The following is a 21,248-nucleotide window of genomic DNA, read 5'->3' on the forward strand; positions in this document are numbered from 1 at the left end:
CATGCATGGCAAGTGTTGACACTCTTCCTCAATGACTTTTATTGTCTCTGGTCAACCTGTAGATCTTCTTTTTCCAAGCATGGAATCAGAATACCTCACTTGTAGAAAGTTACATCAGTGGTATTAAAAGCATATTGAAAACTTTAAAAAGTTGATCCAAATGGAAGTCATGTTTTTAAAAAAAATCAAAGTTATTTCTCTAGTTTATCGGAGCATTTAAGGTTTTTTTAATCCAACAAGTATTTATTTAAAGAATGATCTTTATGTGGCTGAAATGAGAATGCACACATGATAGTTTTTCAAGGCCAGCAAGCACTTCCTAACCAAATCCCCCACTTCCTTTGCTAGCTAAACATAACTACTTCAACTGTGTACATCCTTTAAAAAGTTAGAAGAGAGCACCTCGCATGTAATAGCAGGCAGCTGGGAAGCCAATTGGTGCAGTCGGAGTGCACATTTTAGAAAGCAGCTTTTTAACATTCAATAACTAAGTGGTAATTGGACACAGAAACATAAACTGTCAAACTGAATCAAAACCCCTTTGCTTTTCAGAGAATTATTTGTAAGATTATACTAGAATTAAATTTGAACATGCATCTACCCTATGCATTAGTCAAATTATGAAACAAAAAAAATGCTGTGCTTTCTTTGGATAAAATTAATGTCAGCTTTGCGTCCTTAAACCAGACCCGATCGGGAAATGAAATATGTTTAGTCCTGAAATAGTTGTGGTAATTCAATCCCTGCACTCTCCTTATTTTCTTGATGACAAAGAAAAACTCCCAACTGGCAGGGCCACCTGCACTGATTACTCCTCCATCCACACCCACAGAATATGAAAATGAGCCAATGATCATTAACCTTAATTTCTTCTAACATAAACCTCAGCTCTTTTTCAGTCTTGCTACTCAGGGAACTCCCCTGAGATAAAGGAAAAGAGAACGGGGGAAATAAGGAAACAGGGAGTGAATGCTCAGAGCAAAAGGCGGGGGGCGGTCCAAGTGAAAAGCGGAATCCACTGGCGTTTTAAAAACTGCACAGCCGGCTTATTAAACTTCATACAGAAAAGAGGTTACAAAGATAAAGAGATTCTGAGGCATCACTAACTCTCTAGATAGTGGGATACTTTCCTTTCTGAGCAAACAATGAGAAAGGCTGCTTCCTCTCCACCCTCCCTATCCCCGACCCTGGGCATCGCACTCCTCTACCTAGACATCACTATAAAAAGACAGCCAACAATAAAGATGGGTCTGGACAGTAGGAATGCATGTGTGGCGGTATGATCTCTAGTATGAGGACCAAAGGACCTCTACAACCAAAAGAGATTTCCAAGGTAAGCACTTGCAATTACAGTGGAGAATGTCTAGCACCTTCTGGTCATTCACATTCAAATACAGCCAACTGGAATCATTTTTGGTCCAAGCTGTGTGGAGCTAGATACCATTAGCATTACATCATCTTCTAATGGATGAGGAGCTAGTTGGGGCCCTTAAAAGAAACACAACTTGGAGGGGAGCAGGAAACCTTCAGAAATGCCAGTCTCTTTAGCACAGACATGTGTACTGAAAATTGTCTTGTAATGTTTGCCTACAGACCTTGGTATATCTAAAGAGGACTCCTCAAAGATAAGACCACAAAAGTGAGGAACAATTCAACAAGGCAACCACACATGACCCTGTGTAAAGCATTCCTGAAGCTGAAGGGAAAACAAACTTCAAAAATCATGACATTGCTGAATGAAAGCAGAAAGTCTTTAAAATGCGAGTTTTTCATTAAAAATATTAAATGCAAAGGCGATAAATGCTTAAAGAATATAATAAAAGTCGAAGTGTTTTTTCCTGCAAGTACATTTGCAAGATGCATGGTGCCCACCCAGTGCAGGCAGACAGAGCAAAACTTTCATCTCTCAGTTATCCCCTCATTATTTCAACCACAAATCAAGTAGCAGTCATGAGGAGGGTGAGACAGAAAGGCAGAGAAAATAAACAACAACAAAGACAGAGACCTGGTTGCAATTTAGTATTGGATTCAGAAGCCCAATTTAAACTAAAACCTGGCTCTGGGGTGCTGGCCCTCATCTCCTTCTTGCCTAGCCTACGAAACGTAAAAGGCAAACACACACACACACACACACACCCTGTATTCTCTTTTCTTTCTCCTTTTTTTCCTTCCGTAATCAGGCTCTCAAATGTCAACGGTCCCCTCTGGAAGGAAGCGAGAACAGGGTATTGAAGTATGCAGTGCCATGAGTCATCTTACTAGATGCTCTAGCAACTGCCTGTGACCCAGCAGTGAGCCAAGATAGCAGGGCTTTTAATAAAGCAGCACGTTTGCACACTCACAGCCCTGTTAATTTAATACCTGCCGCTTGTTTACCAAACAGCACGGGCATGTCTCCGTGTCGGTAACTTCCCAGTGACAGTGAGGCGACTGAATCAGGGCATGGAACAGATGCACCTTTTTACGCTCTGTTACACTGTGTCACAGACTACAGCCCCTGAGCGCATTCCTTTATTTATCCTGCAGCCAGTTGAGCTAATTGTCAGAGACAGACCTGGTTCTAATTCTGCAGAGTCCAGCAACTGCTGGAGTGTATGTAGTGAGGCATGAACGGTGCAGAACTTTAGAAGGGAACAGTTGAAAAACAGAGTCTGAGGGTAGAGGCATAATCTGCCAATATTTTACTTAGACTTTGAAAATACCACCTGTCTCAATAGCAGGCTATGGGAGTGGGGACAAAAGTAAAACAACTCCAGTGTCAGAATGAAGCAGAAGCAAGCAAATGTCAAAGCATATTCCTATGTAAGGAGAACACAACACAGCAGCAATGGCATTCATTTTCCAAAGAATATGGTTCGGCCTGTGCAGTTGTAAAATATTCACAAGCTCAAAAACCTGGTGATAACAGGCCAATATTCAATGCGGCTCACACCAGCAGTTCTGCACAATACCAGGATTGAGCATTACAGAGATACTGTGATGCAAGCCCATTAATGACACCAAAATTACTTAAAAGACTAGTCTCTCAATCCTCCAGCCATACAATTTGAGTCTGCTTGATCATGTGTAGACAAAGAAACTCCCATTTATTGTTCTCCTCACACCCTGTGGTATTAGAAGTGTTTCTTATGAGCTGTAATACCATACTCATATTTTATCAGTAGCAAGAGTTCACTCCAGTTAAAGTTCTTCACCCGTCATGGGCATTTTTCAGCAAATTAATGTCTTTTACTTGCATGACTTCCCTTCATATTATAATTTGGGGTTTAAACGGATCATAATACTTTGCAGAAAGTAAAAAGAGAAAAAGAGCTCAGTGTTGATAATTTTTACCACTTATGACTGAATGACCTCAACTGAGGAATAAAAAATTAAGTCATTTGTCTTATGAGGTACAAAGGACATTTTACGGTGTACAATTTAGCTAATAACGGGTTCAGGCCAATCCTTAAGAAGTCACATGTTTCCATTGTCCCTTCACCCCCTGCTTGTGTTTTTACCACATCCTAACAAAAACATGACCAGAACTGGTGAAAAACATACGGTTCCAACTAATGAATCACATACTTTCCCGCAAGTACAGTAAGTACTACCAGCTGTGTGACAGTCTTGCTTTGGCAGTGGGACCAGCTTAGAACAAGCCGGCTCATCTGAAAGCAGCTGTACTGAAAAACCACAAGCAATATAAGTGTGTCTGCCTTCTCAGGGCGGCTTTGTCTCTGTTCTATGTCTCTGCTCTGTCCCCATAATGTGCCAGCCATCTTGTTTAGAGAAAGTTTCAGAAATTACAGTGGTAGGGAGAAAATCCACACATTCAAAAACCTTAAGTTTTCAGAAAATGTTGTCACTTTATCAAGTGGAACGCCGTGAGAGGTCAATTAAAGGAAAACACCTCTCTCCCACATCCAGCCTTCCACATGCATCTTTTGGGGTTTGCCTTAGATGTAAAAGTGTGCGTATTTATGTATCTAAATAAGTGAGGTGGGAAACAGGGGGAGGAACGGCACAGGATCCAGCTACTTACAGATGGGCTGAGGCATGCATGCGAACACACACAAACACACACGCAGAGCAATTCGCAGATTATCAACTCATGCCATGAGCTACTGCAAAAAAGTTCTATGATTTTAAACTTGCCATTTATACAACAATAAGCTTCATTTGTAACCACAAAGCATTCTGAAAAAGATTCCCTGGCAAGCCCCAGATATTTTTACACAAATGCACTTTTCCTTTCTGTGAAACAACATTCAACTGGATAATCATTGCTGTTAAAGGGAAAGAAAGTCCAACAGCATTGGTCTAGAAATTTAAGTGGAAATAGTAGGATTTTTAAACTTCTGTAGTGTCTGAAGGCAATAAGTAATTAAAATTTTTTTAATGTCATTAAGTGATCAGTAGCTTGTATGTAAGCACCTAAGTACCATCTCAGGCTTGTTCTGCAAAAAAGAAATACCTACCGTTGTCATTCTTGACTTTTCCAAAGTCTCAATCAGAAAAATAAATACAGAGTAGTGAAATTATTTTTGGTTTTTGTCAGTGTTTCACATACAGAGAAGTCAAATGTAAGGACTAATCGGGAAGGTTTACCTTTTATGTTTACTTTTATTGCCTAATTTAGCCAAACACATTACTCTAAACTATAATGTTGTAAAGATGCTTGATTCGGCAATAATCTAATCCAAAAATTATATTAACATCACATCTTTTTATTTACACCATAGTTGTGTGAATAATTTTCGTTTTGAATGAGCTATCAATGTAATACTCAAAAAATGGCCAGAAGACTCACTACATTCAGAAGATTCACTACATTAATTAGAGAAGATCTTGGCCTCTGTGGTTTCTTCCTAAAATTCACTCTTTCTAAATGAACTTTAATGTTTGTGTGTTTGGGGGAGTTCAGTGCTGGGCTGATCAAGGGCAAGTACTTAGGGTGAATCTAGAAATCACATTGAGGCTTACAATTGGATAAAGGCAGACAGCAGAACTGGGAGCACCAACAGTAGTGGGGAAAGAGTAAAGGATGAGCATCTGCAGGCAAACATCGGACGAACTCAGGTTCCACTCCAAACCACCACATAAACCAAGTCACATGATTTTTTTTTGGTTTCCCAGTGCATATAAAATTTGTTTATTCGATGCTGTAGTCTATTAAGTGTGCAATAGCATTATGTCTAAAAAAAACAGCATACATACATCTAAAATACTTTATTGCTAAAAAATGCTAACAATCGTCTGAGCCTTCAGTGAGGTGTAATCTTTTTGCTGGCAGAGGGTCTTGCCTAGATGTTGATGGCTGCTGATTGATCAGGGTGGTGGTTGATGAAGACGGGTGGCTGTGGTGTCTACTCATAAAATAGACGGTTTGCCGCATCAATTGACTCTTCCATTCAGAAAAGATTTCTCTGTAGCATTGATGCTTTGGATAGCATGTTATCCACACTAGGACTTCTTTCAAAATTGGAGTCAATTCTTTCAAACTCTGCCACTGCTTCAATTTGTAAAAGAAATGCAGTATCTGCAGAGTGCAGTAAAGCCAAGTGCAATAAAAGGAGGTATGCCTATGTTCAAGCCTGAAGAACAGACTTAACTAATACATAGACTTGAAACAGTACACTGATAAACAGACATATAATTTTAAAAAAATATTGACTCATTTATAGCACTTAGTTCATGTTAAATCTAATAAAGAATACTAGTCTAAGTGGGAAAAGTCCAAAACTGGATTATTAAATTACACAGTAAAATCTATCAAGAAAGAGCTAATATGGCTGAGCCAAAATTATGATTAAATTATGATAAAAGCATTAAAACTCAGTTATTAATAACATGGAAAGATAGTTACAAAATGTTGATAAGCAAAAAGCAGCTTACAAAGCAGTGTACGCAATATGGTCCTCTATTTTTAAAATGAATACAAAAGACAAGTGAAAACAAAAAATGATTAACACCTGTGTGGAAGGAACTATTGGCGATGCTTTTACTCTTCTTAAATTCCATTTTCTAAACTTTATTTATTTAGCATGTATAAACTACACATAGGAAAAATAAGTGTACTTCTTTTCCTTTTTTTAAACAGTGTGAGAAATTTTATTTTTAAGAAATCTAGTAACTAGATTTCTGGTCCTCACCAGTAGTTACACTGCAAAACCTGTGTATTATTTAAAAATGTGGAGCGTTTCTTTTTTTGAAACAGAGTTTCACTCTTGTTGCCCAGGCTGGAGGGCAACGGTGCGATCTCGGCTCACTGCAACCTCCGCCTCCCGGGTTCAAGCGATTCTCCTGCCTCAGCCTCTCGAGTAGCTGGGATTACAGGCATGCGCCACCACGCCCAGCTAATTTTGTATTTTTAGTAGAGACGGGGTTTCTCCACGTTGGTCAGGCTGGTCTCGAACTCCTGATCTCAGGTGATCAGCCCACCTAGGCTTCCCAAGGTGGTGAGATTATAGGCATGAGCCACCATGTCCGGCCTGGAGCTTTTCTTAAAATCAAAAATTGATTTACTTTGAACAATTCTTTAAAACTACATTTATGGGGTACGTGTGTGTTCTCTATAAAATCTCAAGACAAATAACCAAACTTACTTATCCTCTCCCCGATACCCAGTTTCCCAAGAGTATTCTTTCATAATTTGAGCCAAAAACTAGCCTTTGCTAATTCAACTTTTACATAATTAATGAACCACAGATCTAAATCCTTATCTTTCTAACAAAAATAATACCTTTAAATAGCACTTAATTGCCAAAACACTCCCATAAAATAAGAACCCATACCCCCACCGAATCACCATTACTTAATCCCAAAGTCTAGAGGCTGCCCTGTAGCGCACAGTCCAGGGCACTGGAGTAGTATATAACACCATCACAGGATCAATGCAACAGAGCGAATCTGTTAAATACGCTTATCCACATTGAAACATGGCAGAAATAACTAGGTTAATAACCATACTCCTATAACAAGGGACTTAGAATCACAGCCAATAGTCAAGAAGATTTATTATTAAAGAAGCATTCAAAGTTTTTCATTCTGCAACTGAGAGGGCTGGTATGAACAATCATTTGGCAAATACTTATTAACTGATTTCCGTGGCCTACCATCGTGTCCAATGTTTGGGTTTGAACAAATATAAGGAAAAGCATCTTGACATAAAAACCATCTAGTGAAGGAGAAAATTCAAATAATTTATCACGTTGTGCAGAAGAGCAGAAACACACAGAGATTTCCAGAGAAACAGAAGAAGGCACCAACTCAGGTAGGGCTTTAGAACAACTTCAGAAAAAAAGACAGAACATAATGAAGCTTAAATACAAGTTTAGTAGCCAACCAGGCAAGATAAGGACTAGGGAGAACAACATGGGAGAATGTTCCACGATAGGAAATAGCACAAAATCGGCAAAGAACTACCAGCTGATCTGTGTTGCTGGGGCAATAAGGCTGAGGCAAGAAATGACAAGAATGGCAGACAGGGTAAGGGGCAGGTCCAATCATGTAGGGTCTTGTTTGTCCCTTTTAAGGAGATTCTAAGTTTCCCTTCACCTAATTCAGCAGTGAGAATGCTCAGTCTCCTTACTCCAGAAGAGTCAGGACTACCCATGTCATCTTGCATATGATGGTAGGAACTATTCCCTCCTTTTTTTTAATCGTTATTTTTATTTCAAACAAGTATTTACTGAACCCCTTCTATGTTTTAGGCACTGAGATCTCAGGATCAGACAGTCTTGCTCCTCCTCTGTCCCTCCAGGAGTTCACTTTCCGTGGATCCCCCACATTCGGTAATAATTTCTTTAAAAGCACAAACAAAAAAACTGGCATAGCCTTGTACATCTTCTGGAGTCTGATGGCTAAGAAAGACTAAAACGGGAAAAAAAAAAAATCTGTGTATGTAAAAGCACCATATTCCCAAATCATTTTATCAGGTCACATTCTGCCAAACTGATGAACTCTTAATTTAAGGGAACAATTTGTCAAGGCTCTGCTAATTGCAGATATTAGCATATCAGACCAACCAAAACTTAGAAAACTTATTCTCTTGATAAAATAACAGATGTGGCCATTTTATATAAGCCATAATGCAGACAGCATACACTTAGGTCTAGAACACATCTTTGCTCACCCATTACACTGAGTACAGACTGCCATGTCTCTGAATGAGACACCCATCCCAAGGTCTAATTTAACGCCATCTGGTAATATTCCAGATGCAAGAGTGTGATGCAAATTTTGATGAGTCAAATTTTAGCACCAACTTTTATGCAAAAGTCTATACCCTGTAAAAACCACTTTCTCAATAATTCCTAAAGCAATACTCTTAGGGAAAACAATATAATCGAGTTTTATAGGAGGGTAGGTTTCTTAATACCAGCTGGCAATATTTGGGCCCCGAAGCATGAGAACTGATCATATTAAAATCCAGATACCAGCTATTATATCTAAAATTGTTGCTTCATTCATATTTAGCATGAAGAGGAGCCTATCTAAAGCAGGCTCTATTTAATACAATGTGGTTTTAATTGGAGTCTGTTTTAGATGAGCCACCTGTATTTCATCTTTTTAAAATTATCCATAATTTTCTGCGCAATTTGCCTCTGCAACATAACGAAGAGCAGTTAGTTATAAATTATTGCCATTGTTTAGACGTCTAAGAAGAGAAAAAACTCTCTATTTACTGAAATACGATGGCCCTGTACCAAAGAACAAAATGGGGAGCCCAAGGTTCTAGTTCTGTCCCAGTGCACAAATGAACAAGGCCATACATAAATGTTATTAATAAGCCTTAACTAGAAAAACAACAGATTAAAACCCTGTTAGTCTTACTCCAGCTAAACTTCATTTATGGCTACTCTGAAGCCTACTGTTACAATAACTAAAGTCTCACATTCTTTTCTACTTAAAAGAGCCTCTTTTTAAGCATTTCTAACCGTGAAAATTCTGCTTCCAGCAACTACCTCAAATAACTTTTTTTGGTAGTGCGGTAGCTCTACTTTGCAATTATGTCTATACCAATATATTCTTGGTTTGTTTTCAACTAAAACCATTCAAAAGTTTTTATAATATCATTATTTCTTCAATATTTTCCATCTTCATCGTGTTTATCTAATAATTGTTAAGGTATCCGGAAATACAGTATATCGTAACATCGTGACAATGTTTCCTATTCAGATCCAAGTAAATAGCGGTTTGCAAACTAAGGTATGTTTATTTCTGTGATGGCTACAAGAACCACCCAAAGAAAACATCTAAAATGCAACTTTTAAAGAAGATTCTTCAATCAATCTGTTCTGAATTACCAAAAACATACCCCAACAGGTAAGTCAGAATTTCAGTGGGTGCCAAATATATTATAATTATTTTTGATAACATGCTAAAATAATGCTTACTCTAGGCTATTTAGCAAAAGATAAAACTGTCACAATCCATGTAAATGTGCTGACACTGTTTATTAAACTACCCTATCCAAGCGTTTCTCTTGATGCTTACCAGCTAATACAAGTGATTCCTAACTAGTACTTCTCTAAACAAACTGTTCCACAAGACTCTACTCATCCCGTGTTCTGACAGGACTATTTATATGAATAATATTCCCCAATTGCAATTTGTCCACTGTGCAAATTCAATGGACTTAGGTATGCTATAGAAACAGCATCTTTCTCTTTGCAAATGTCAATGTATTTTTTTCCTTCAATATACTGTATCTATTCCTCTATTATTAAGTTCTGAGCTTGCTTTACCTTGTCCGCTATTTAAAACATTCTGATTTGAAAGTATCACCAACAGCTTATGTGATTTTCCAAATTTCTCAAAATACAGTTGTCACCATTAGTCACATGAAGTCTGGATACTGTCTGGTGACAAATAGGTAAACCAAATATGATTATTGTTATTAAGAGTAACCTCTTAGTCACCAAATTTATCCTATAATTAGACCTTCAAATATCTTTTTTTTTTTTTTTTTGAGACAGAGTCTCATTCTGTCACCCAGGCTGGAGTGCAGTGGCGCAATCTCTGCTCACTGCAAGCTCTGCCTCCCGGATTCACACCATTCTAGTGCCTCAGCCTTCCGAGTAGCTGGGGCTACAGGCACCTGCCACCACACCTGGCTAATTTTTTGTATTTTTAGTAGAGATGGGGTTTCATTGTGTTAGCCAGGATGGTCTCGATCTCCTGACCTTGTGATCTACCCGCCTCAGCCTCCCAAAATGCTGGGATTACAGGCGTGAACAACCGCGCCCGGCCCAAATACCTCATTCTTAAACCCCAAAGTCTGAGCCCAAGAAGCAGTGTACACTGAGGGGAGGGGGAACACATACTAATAAAGGTGTTTTTTTTTTTCTTTTAATCCAACCCAATAACACCAGCAATTTCCTTACATATTCCATTATGGACATTGTAGCTTGAATTCAGTGCCACTTGACAGAATCTATTAGTAATGTGGTCTGTATAAATTACATACCGTATACTCCATATGGAAACCTATTTTCAAAATAACCTATGCTTAATAACAAACATAACTTGGGGTATCTTTTGCAGTTTCTCTTGCAGTCTTAGCTGCATTATTTCAGCAATTTGTCTGTTCAGGTATTTAGTCTATGAAGCCAAGGCTTTTAAATTTTCTCACTGTAGTTAAAAAGAGATTAACTTTAATCCCATGTCATATTAGTTACAAGATAACTAGACTCTTTAAAAGCACCATCAGAAATTATCTTGATTCAGAAATTACTCTGAACACTAGTAGGTTAACAGTGCTCCTGCATAAACATACTTGTTTGTGGAAATTACTGATTTTGTTTATTTACTTTATAATTTTATGTATTTTTTTCTTGGTCTCTGTCAGATAAAATTTGTTAGTCAATGTGCCACAAACTCTAACTTTATTTAATATTTTATAATACTTTTGAATACCTTGATAACAGCAAGTATTTTTTCATTTTAATAAATGTGGTCTGGTGTTTATGTCAAAAATTTACAAGAAAAAGCTATTTTACTGGAAAGTAACAAAAAATAATTGTGATTAGGACAGAGCTCAAATTAATACTGCAGATTTTTGTGTGTATGCAAAAGATATAATTAGAAGTCATATTTCAAAATTGGACAGACAATTCTATTATACAGATTTCTTGGCCAACTTTTGTTGGCAACTCAAACAAGCTAAATAAATTTCTAGATACGATCTATAATAAACTCAACAGATAAGCTACAGAAATGTTTAAGATTTGGTGCCTAGAGGCCATAATCAGTTTTTAAAAGTAAAGGTTTCTTCAACACAGAGAAGGCAAATTTGCTTATTTAAAACCTAACAAACAATACATCCCACACTCCATATGGCAAAGGGTAGGATGGTGGTGAGGGCAGGGGACAAAAGAGTTCCCAAAAAGTAAGGGAATGTGTAGAACAGGGGATACATTAAGAGGGTTGGTTTGTTTGTTTTATTAATATTCAGAAACTGGAAACAATTTAAACTTAAGATTGAAAAAGACTCAAAATCTGCACAAAGCATATGGCAAAATAATCTTAGGAATGTTCCTTGGACTACTCCAGAATTTTAGAATATGGAGACTGTTAAGATGAGTGAACCAGCAGACACTCAAAGGCTAAAATGTGAAATTACATTCGCATGTTGGTCATATAATCATAATGCTGAAAAATTATCTACAGAAAAAAAAATCTGCTAACATAAAAATAAGAAGGTCTGACCATCCATAGTTCATGGTTCTAGAAGATGCAAGTTTTTAGGTGAAGACTTTCTTTTTTTTTTGGAGACAGGGTCTTGCTCTGTCACCCAAACTGGAGTGCAGTGGCACAATCACAGCTCACTGCAGCTTCAAACTCCTGGACTCAAGCGATCCTCTCACCTCAGCCTCCCAAGTAGCTGGGACTATAAGAGCAGGCAACCACACCCAGCTAATTTTTTAATTTTTTGTAGAGATAAGGTCTCACTATGTTGCCTAGGGTGGTCTTGAACTCCTGAGCTCATGCGATCCTCCTACCTCGGCCTCCCAAAGTGCTAGGATTACAGGTGTGAGCCGCCACACCCAGCTAGATAAGCTTTTTGTATAATGCCTACATATCTATATGCCATGAAGCATGGATGAAAGAAGAATCCAGTAACAGATTCCAAATCTAAAGAACAACAAGAAAATACCTGAAGGGAAGTGGAGAACTTCCAGGTTATTCTATCTTTTATTTCTTCCTTTTTTAGCCAAGCTACTGGAATTCTACATCTCACCAGATCCTCAAACAAGGCAAACAGGTGGGATGTTATTTGAAACTACAGCATTTATTTAACCAATAAACTAGAAGAGTGTTCATGCAAAATCTAGATTCAATTTAAATCATTTGTCCTATATTATTCCATGATTTAAATATATATATATATGTATTTTTTTTTTAAAGCTCACATAGTGCTTTCCTAGCTAATGGGAAAAACAAGCTAGAAGACCCTTAAGAGTAAACCCTGCTGTGGTTCAAAGACAACTGCTCTTAATTTTTTTTTTCTTCTTCTTGCCATATAGAAAGAGGCAATTTTTTTTTCTCTATCTTCTTATCTTCTTTTCCTACCATACCCTTATGGCTTTTATTAGCCACATCAAAGGGTATAGAATTAATTTTGTGTTCAAAATTACTCAATAACAATCCCCATATATGAGCTCTTACAGGAAATCACATAAAGAAATAAGACTCTTAAAGTGCCTAACTGACAAGCAAAATTTAAAAGCAAACTGCCCCCTTTACTGTTCATGTATTCAGAACTAAAGTGAAGTTGGAATTATGTGAGAGATGCAGTGAGAGATTCAGCAAGCATTCTTACAGTGTAAACACAGCAGTTCAAGTTGTGATGTTCACCCAACATCAAAGCCATCTATCCAGAACATGCAGGGGCAAGCCTCCGCCAGGGAAGACCTGTCTGTGTCAAGTAGATTGCTCTAACTCCCCAAAATAACCAGTGTGTGATTTAAATCACAACAGTATATAATAAACTCTGGCTTTATCATGCTAATTCCAAGTGTTCAAAGCCATTACTAAATTTCTGAGGCTGGCCAAAATATTTATTTAAAAAAAAGCAAAAACAGTAACTTTTCTAAAAGGCAGCAGCCTCATGTATTTCAAAGATGTGTACACACAACCATGCATCTAACACACCTGTAGGGCAAAGCAGGCCTCACCTGGGTGAGGAGAGTGCCCCAGCTACTAGAAATTTTAAGATACAAATGAAACTAGATTAAAAGAAAAAAAGCCATCTGTCTCATCAAGGTTGAACAAGATATATCAGGCAAAGAAAAAAAAATGCATAGATTCAAAATGCGAACAGTATTGTGGTGTAATATACATACAGTGAAATAAACAGATTTTAAGTGCCCAGCAAGAATATATTTTGGAGGGAACATGCAAAAAATCAGAAATATACTTAGGTGTGGCTGATAACAAAATCACTGGGACATCATAGGCAACTATAATTAGCAATGGATGACTCCGAGCAGGATTGGATCCGCCTCCTAAATTTTAAATGATTGCTTCAAGCTAAATTTCTGGGAACTTCTTTGGTCTGGTAATCAGTCTGGGAGTCTTGTAGGAACAAGCTTTCTCGTGATATTTCCACTGCCTCGTGGTTTCTGGCAAGGTTGAGCCGTCTACAGAAACAAGATTTTCTAACAGTGTTTTGTTATTTCCATTTCCTATCTCATCTGAAACCAAGTGCATAGACATAAAAATGTTGAAAATACATACATAAGCAAACTTTTCATCAACAAAGTTGTTTCTAAATCAACTCAAATGAAATTCATCAATAGTACTTTGAAGAATCAAGGCAGATCATTACTGATTACTGGATAAAACAGAAAACTTGGATAAAAATAATTTTATATTTTTTAATATTCTCCTAACTGTCCAGCATTAAGAAAGTTTAATAATTAAGACATTTTAGTAAGTTAAACACCCAAAAAAAGTCTTAAGATTACAAGGATTTTTCCTACACATGATTCTTCAGGCTCAGGTTCTCCCCTGTACCCCTCAAATGGCCTGTATGGCTCTAATTACCTGTAAAACCCTTACATATAGGTTATGTTATCATGCATTATGTGACATTCCACTCATAAAACTATAGTCCTAGAGATAGACAACCTTTAAAAGAAAAAAAAACCTTCATCTACGAAAATACACTAAACAGAAAATGGCAAACTACAAATAGAGTACGATAATACTATTTTTAATGTTTCCTTCTCTCCATTTATTTTAAATGAGTAAAATTGAGTCTCTTTCTAAACGCACATAAATTGCCTCACTTAAAACCACTGGATAGGATTTATGATTCTCAGTAGGGAATGTAACATCTAAACACAATGATAATATAAATTGCAAAAGTTAAAGATAATAATTAGAAAGTAATAATGTCTAGCATAGCAATGTAATGTAAGAATAATGATTCAATTATTATTGATTTGAAAATACATTCTAAAAGTCCAAGGTTTAAGAAACTCTCATAAGAAGAAAAAGGATGTCATGTGTAATAGGCTATTTTCCCTCAAAAGAAACTTTTCCTTAATGTGAACTTAATAAGTTTGAGGTTATCAAAAAAATTACTGTACTTATTTTTTAAAAACAGAAGTTAATAAAGTATTCTTGGATGACACTTTAGGAGACATTTTATCAAAACCAAATTTTAGTTCAATAACAGAAATAATGAAAATTTATATTCATAACAATGTTGTTATTGGTCTCTGTTAAGCAATGGAAAAAATCTGGTCATTTTATTCTAATATTAAATTTTAGCATTTGCTTACTAATTACCAACATCTAGAAAGAAGAAAAGCTCAGTGTCTGGCATGTTTGTTTCTGTAGACATAGGTCTAACATATGTATTTCAAAAATGATTTCAAGTTTTAAGAAATAATTGCAATCTCAATACACCACTGTTGAATGCTACCACTATATTCTTTTCTATTATCTTTATGTTAGTGCCTCTTCGTTAATTCTCATATCAAATTTTTTTATGTCCTTATTAACAACAATAACAACAAAACCAAATGAACCTTACAACAACACATGTGAAAACACAGGAAAAAAAAAAATCTCAAGTCAGGCACACTGGCTCATGCCTGTAATCCCAGTGCTTTGAGAGGCTGAGGCAGGAAGACCGCTTGAGCCCAAGAGTTTCAGACCAGCCTCGGCAACACAGCAAGACCTCCATCTCTACAAAAATTTTTTTTAATACTTAGCCAGGTGTGGTGATGCATGCCTACCATCCTAGCTACTTGGAAGGCTGAAGCAGGAGGACTGCGTAAGCCCAGGAGTTCAAGGCTTCAGTGAGCTATGATCGCACCACTACATTCTAGCCTGGGCAACAGAGTGAGACCCTGTCTCATTAAAAAAAAAAATCTCCAAAGTGGATTACATTTTTTCCCCCATTAGTGACAGACAGCTTGAGGGATTTTTTAAGAGTGATTTTGATTTTTACAGATCTATGAACCCATTTCTATTATAGCTCTTCTAAAGATTATAAATAAAACGTAGTAATACAAATCTCTTCTTCACAAAAAAAAAAATAGAGACTAGCAAAGAATTTGATACACCTCTGTCCTTAATTTTGCCAAGTCACATTTCAGGTTAAGAAAATTAAGCAAAAGAAGAAAACAAAGTCCTCAGACTACAAAAGCCAAGAGTAATAAAATAAGTGCATTGGTGATTAAATCCAGAAACCAAATATTCAGAGAGGGTCTCAATCTCTCTCTCTTTCTCTCTAAGCTACAACCATCATTCCTATCACATTTCATATCCAGATCATCTAAACAGATTATATTAAATACAAATACATGAGAGTTCAGCTAATTTTGACACTTTTACAATGTTTAACAAAACACATGAGGGATAAAATCCTTTCATGTTAGAAAATGGCAATTATTAACTACTAGTTTTCAACTAAATTTTCATTTACTGGTTAATAGTTTCCAAAGAAAGCAGAGAGTCCTCCTGTTCTTATTGCACTTCAACATTTCAAATTATACAACTCAATTAAGCGGTCATTCTATTAGGCTGAGAAAACATGTAGAACATATTCAAGTTTATGCAAGAAACTGTGAGGGATGGTTTGCCGTATACATTAAGCATGACCTTAGGCATGTATTTTAAGAGTGTTTGATAACCCTATACACCCTTCAGAAATACCCCAACAGGAGGCATCAAATTTGTAAACTTCAGCTTGCAGCATAACAGACTAGCTAGGGAAGAGTCCAAACTGGGCATCAGAACAGCTGCAACCAAGACCTGGCTCTGCCCCTTGTGGTCACAGGACATCCAGGTTCTGGATTTCAGTTCTTACAGTGAAACTAACACTAGGATCCTGTTACTTTAGAAAGAGAGGTGTCTAAGAACTCAAGAAGCAGTACGTTCACAGCTCTAGAAAGAGTTAAGACACCATCACTGTGAGCATTTACAGATGTGCCAGGATGTGAATATAGGAAATTGGACCCTCAGAACAAGACCTTAGAAATGCTCACAGAGAAATGCATGAGAATTACTGGATAAAGTAACTACTGGAAAATACAAAGAATGAAGGCTTTGTTCTATGTTGTAGAAATCATTACCAGAAAAGTTCATTCTCAAAGAAAGACCACTGATTACTTTTTTAAATCCCTGCACAAAAGTAATCACACTATGTACAGTATGCACAGTATGATAATTTTTCAAAATACTTCAGATTGTAAATCATTGAAAAAGTCAGTGAGAAGATTAAAATAAAATCATGGAAAAGATCTTAAATTATAACAGAAAGGAAGTGGTCAGATGAGTGGGACATTTCTTCTCTCCTTCAAGAACCTTCCCTTTCCCATGTCTGGGAAACACAAAAATCTACACCAAATAAATTTGCTGAGGCACTTTCTCAGATATTTTAAAGTGAGCTATTATTAATATTACAAATAGGTTTACTATCCCAATCTGTTGCCTCTATTTAATTAATTTCCTGATTGTTTAGTCTAATTTGCTAGACTGTTTCAAAAGATAACTTAATTTCACCACTAAAAATTTCTAGATTAATAAAGTATTCGGATGCAAATTACATATTGGACTAAACAATCCTGCTATCACATAAGTGTCTGAAATCAGTGGTTCCAGCTAAGATTCCAAAACTTCTAGTCCAAATAAATGTTACATTTCAATGGGGGCATATGGATTAAATGAAATAAAGCATATATACAAAGATATGGCCATGTTAAATATGTATCAAATATGTAATCAAATATGTAAACTCTCTTTCTCTCTAAGCTACAGCCATCATTCCCACATGAGAATTCCCTTTTTTTGGAAGATGCCAAGAAATAATCAAAATACCATGTAAGATGATGCTATTTAATGGAATGGCCATTTTTCTGTTTGCTGTTAACATTTAATTAAAAGTCACAGGCAAATATCTACTAACGTACTGGTTAAAGATTTTTCCTTCGCAATTCAGTAAACACCCAATGCAGCAAGTTATTAAGCAACATTTATCATCTGATTTACCATCATGTTCTATAAGCCAAAATAAGTAGTGACCCTTCTTCTAAAACACTCACCTGATACTAGAAAATTACCTTGCCAACATGCTCCTTCCACTTCGTTATCCTTGAAATTACACCTAATATAATACAAGTTTTGTTGTTTACTTTTATACTTTAAAGTGAGCACATAAGGATTTTTTTAAGGAAAAGGAGAAAGAAAACAGTATCTGTAAACATTAACAAGTCTCAATAGCGTTCTGTTTTATAAATTCTATTTTAGGCAATACTGCAACAGCTTTTCATTCTGACCTAAGAAACATCTCCAAAGTTCTTTCAGGTGGCACTAGCATTGCTACTCACCCTGGACTCTTCTTTGAAAGGTAGAGTACATATTTTAACATATTCTTCCTTACTATATAGCTTTCCTTATTTTCTCCACACTGAGAAAACAACACAAACCATACTACAAAACCACTGACCAAACCACCCTTCCCACAGCATGTGCCTCACTAAAATTTTTCTTTCACTTCTGAGGACACAAAATCTTTGAAGCAAATCTACAACTAGTGGCCAAGCGTCCATTTGGCAGTAGGAAGACTGTCATCACTAATATCCCATGCTGTCTTAAGATTCAAGAATCAAGGAAGAAAAACAGTGAGTGCCTTGGGGCCACATTTTTTGTTTTCTTAATTTTGGCTTTCAAAATACAGTCTACAGTCCCTATGGCTTAAATAGTCTACACAAAACTTTGTTTTGGAATGAAAAGCAATAATCAAATCCTTCTAGGAGAAGGTACAGTTAAGTAGTTCAAGAGTCACAGTTCTGGAATCTAACTATCAGGGTTCCAATTCCAGCACCTCCACTTACTCTTGCTCTAAAAATGTAGACAAGTTACTTTCTCTTTGGGCCTGTTTCCTCATTTGTGAAACGAGAATATGAGTATACTTAATTAAGAAAGTAACCCTGTAAAACTGCTGTCATGGTGCCAGGCCAACAGTAAGTGCTCCCTAAACTGAGCTATGATTATCACAGTAGAAAGAAAACTACACAGATGAATAATGATCACAGACCTGTCTTTTCTATATAGAGCTGGCATTAATTTGGGATTAAAACGTATGAGGTTAGCCGGGCATGGTGGTGCGTACCTATAATCCCAGCTACTCGGGAGGCTGAGGCAGGAGAATCGCTTGAACCTGGGAAGTGGAGGTTGCAGTGAGCCAAGATCACGACAATGCACTCCAGCCTGGGTGAAAGAGCAAGACTCTGTCTCAAAAAAAAAAAAAAAAATGAGGTACCAAATTCTGGGAGACCAGAATTTGGGTCTCAAATAATTAGTTATCTACTCACAGAATAATTTTACTTTCTGTAAGTCTCAGCAACCCCAAACATAAGTAAGAAAGGCTGGTCTGGAATCCACATTCCTGGTTTTCAACCTTGGCTATACATTTGAATCACCTACGGAAAGTGAAAAAAATATCCACGCATAGCCCCCTCCAGCAAAGATTCAACTTTTACACTGGTTATGGTGTAGCATCTTAGGAGCTGCACCATATATGATCTTAGGTCCCTCTTATTTTTAATTCTAGAATTCTTTGCTTTTTTTGCATGAAAAAATATGGAGAAATTATATTCTAAGCATGTGAAAAGCAGCAATCACATCTGATGTTTCTTGGTACTTATAAGGGTAGCTGCTATTCAAAAATCATTTTTAGCTTCTTCTGGAGTAAATGGGACAAATACATGGCTCTTTTTCTGCCCCAAACTGACCTTCCTCAGCATGGTTTAAGATTAAAGATTTTATATTAAAGAAATCTTCAAACAGCTGTCTTCAGCACAATTTTCCTCAAGAACAATAGGAACAAGTAGCCAGTTTTAAAAATCTTGAGTTCTCTTAACACCATAAACTTTCAGAAGAACCTATGGGAGGTGTGGAATGGGGTAGGGCTACACCTATACGCCTGTAATAAGTACCCCAAGAGAACCTTAGAAGAGCTTTCTGATAACCTTTCAGGAAGTCAAAGCAGAGATTCACAGATTTACAAATGGTAACCTACATCAAAAGACTTTGAAATATCTTTTATTTCTATTCTGCCTTTCTACAATGATATCAAAGTTTCCTATACATACCAAATCAAAAGATATTCCAGAGAGATATTTTCATTCTCAATTTATCAATGGAGTCAAGGGGCAAGAAGAGGAAAAGAATCTAGATATCTAGAATAACCTTAGGTGGCCCCCTCAAGTTATTGCAAGATGAACAGAGAAATGACAAGGTTGAATCAAGTGATCCCTTAGGTTCCAAGCACCTTAAATATGTTTTGATTAAAATTTTTAAACAAGATTCTCTCTTGGATGGTATTGAGCATTGAAAATAAACTTCACAGGCAACAAAACTTAAAATTAAAGCTGGTACTATCTAATCATGATGACTATTAATAGAAAAAAATAAATCAACTCGGTGCATTCTAGATATGCTAAGTCATTTATAGTCATAGGGATTCTGAATAATCCCAAATTCTCTAAAATGTTCATCTTTTTCTTTAAGCTTATGTATTGTGTTTATAGAAAATCACCATTTATCCTTTAAACTAGTCATAACAAAGATGAAAGGAAAGATGTAATCAGTGGCATAAGACAGTTAACACAGTGTCAGTCTAAGAGCATCAAGAGAGAAACAGAAAGACAGTAAATAAGTAGCACATATCAAACATTGCACAGCCAGCCCAGCAACTGTCAAGGAGGGGATGAGCTTCCCAATGGAGAGTAGCTGCTGCCTTGTGCAGGTTTCTTTTCTCTTTCTCTTTCTTTTCTTTTGGCTAGTGCTGATTTAGGTACTTACTTTGCTTTTTCTCTTTCAATTCAAAGTTTGAAAGAAACTAGAAACTGTTCCAAAGTACACTTCGTAAAGCAGCCCCTAACTCTTCAACTTTCTCTGCTTCACAAAGTCGTCAGCATTGTAAATCTAAGCCATAATGAAGACGCTACATTTACATACTTTAAAGAAATCATTCCTGACTGCTGTCATAATAGTCTCTTAGGTAAACTCTTAACACATACAAGAATTTCTCTAGTCCTTGTCTATGACTTGCAGGTAAAAAAGATAACAATTAATAATGTTCCTTGAACCTTGGCTTGGATAAGAGAAAAAGAAGATTTGAAAGAGTAGAGGAAGAGGCACAGGGAGACAGTCTAGGTTTCTTCTAACTCTATATTGCTGTGGAAAAGTTAAAGAATCTTGTCTCAAAATCTTCACCTTCAAAATGTGCACAACAGTTCTTACTACTATTCTTTATAAAAAATTATTATTTTCTGCCTTTTCACATGTTCTAAGACCCTTAAATGAAAAGAATTCAATGCAGTTAGAGGCTCCAGTTCACGTCACATTTTTATACTTTTCATAATATTCAATAGCTTAACAATTATATTACACTGGATATTTTATACCCAATACTAAACACATGTACATTACCACACTGTCTATTTTATACTTGGGAGGAGATGTCCAGAAAGTATTTGTGGGACTTAGAATAGAATGTTGGTGGGACTGGATGTCAGATCTGGAATCACATCCTTGTCCCATCACAGCACAAGAGTTGTATAACCATGGGTAAGTTATTTAGGCTTAGTTTCCTCAGCTAGCAAGTGGGAATAATAACAGTATTAACATAAACAGGATGTTAGATTATATATAAATTAATGTACATAAATTCTTAGCATATTGCTTATAATGGTTAAATAGTTTAATAAAGAATAAGTATTATTAACCTAATCACCCAG

General features: G+C 36.5%; 1 protein-coding gene across 37 annotated transcripts in view, besides 1 other annotated feature; it reads right to left on the minus strand.

The window, feature by feature from the left end:
• The window catches only part of BNC2 (basonuclin zinc finger protein 2), a 461,168-nt gene that overhangs the window by 215,062 nt on the left and 224,858 nt on the right, over window positions 1-21,248 (minus strand). The window contains exon 1 of one of the 37 annotated variants that reach the window (XM_047423497.1): window positions 1-21,248. This exon is cut by the window's right edge and continues 8,603 nt beyond it. The exons of the other annotated variants lie outside the window; for them this stretch is intronic. Within the exon in view, the coding sequence (XP_047279453.1) occupies window positions 1-3 (3 nt within the window). The 5' untranslated portion in view covers window positions 4-21,248. 37 annotated transcript variants of the gene reach the window in all.
• Window positions 2,400-2,933: an enhancer, noted in NCBI's record as "H3K27ac hESC enhancer chr9:16626962-16627495 (GRCh37/hg19 assembly coordinates)". NCBI's record gives its function as "activates a minimal SCP1, AML or CMV promoter by ChIP-STARR-seq in naive and primed H9 embryonic stem cells {active_cell/tissue: H9 hESC(naive and primed)}" and the evidence as "EXISTENCE:reporter gene assay evidence [ECO:0000049][PMID:30033119]".

This window comes from Homo sapiens, chromosome 9 (genome assembly GCF_000001405.40).
Source record: "Homo sapiens chromosome 9, GRCh38.p14 Primary Assembly".
NCBI lineage: Eukaryota > Metazoa > Chordata > Mammalia > Primates > Hominidae > Homo > Homo sapiens.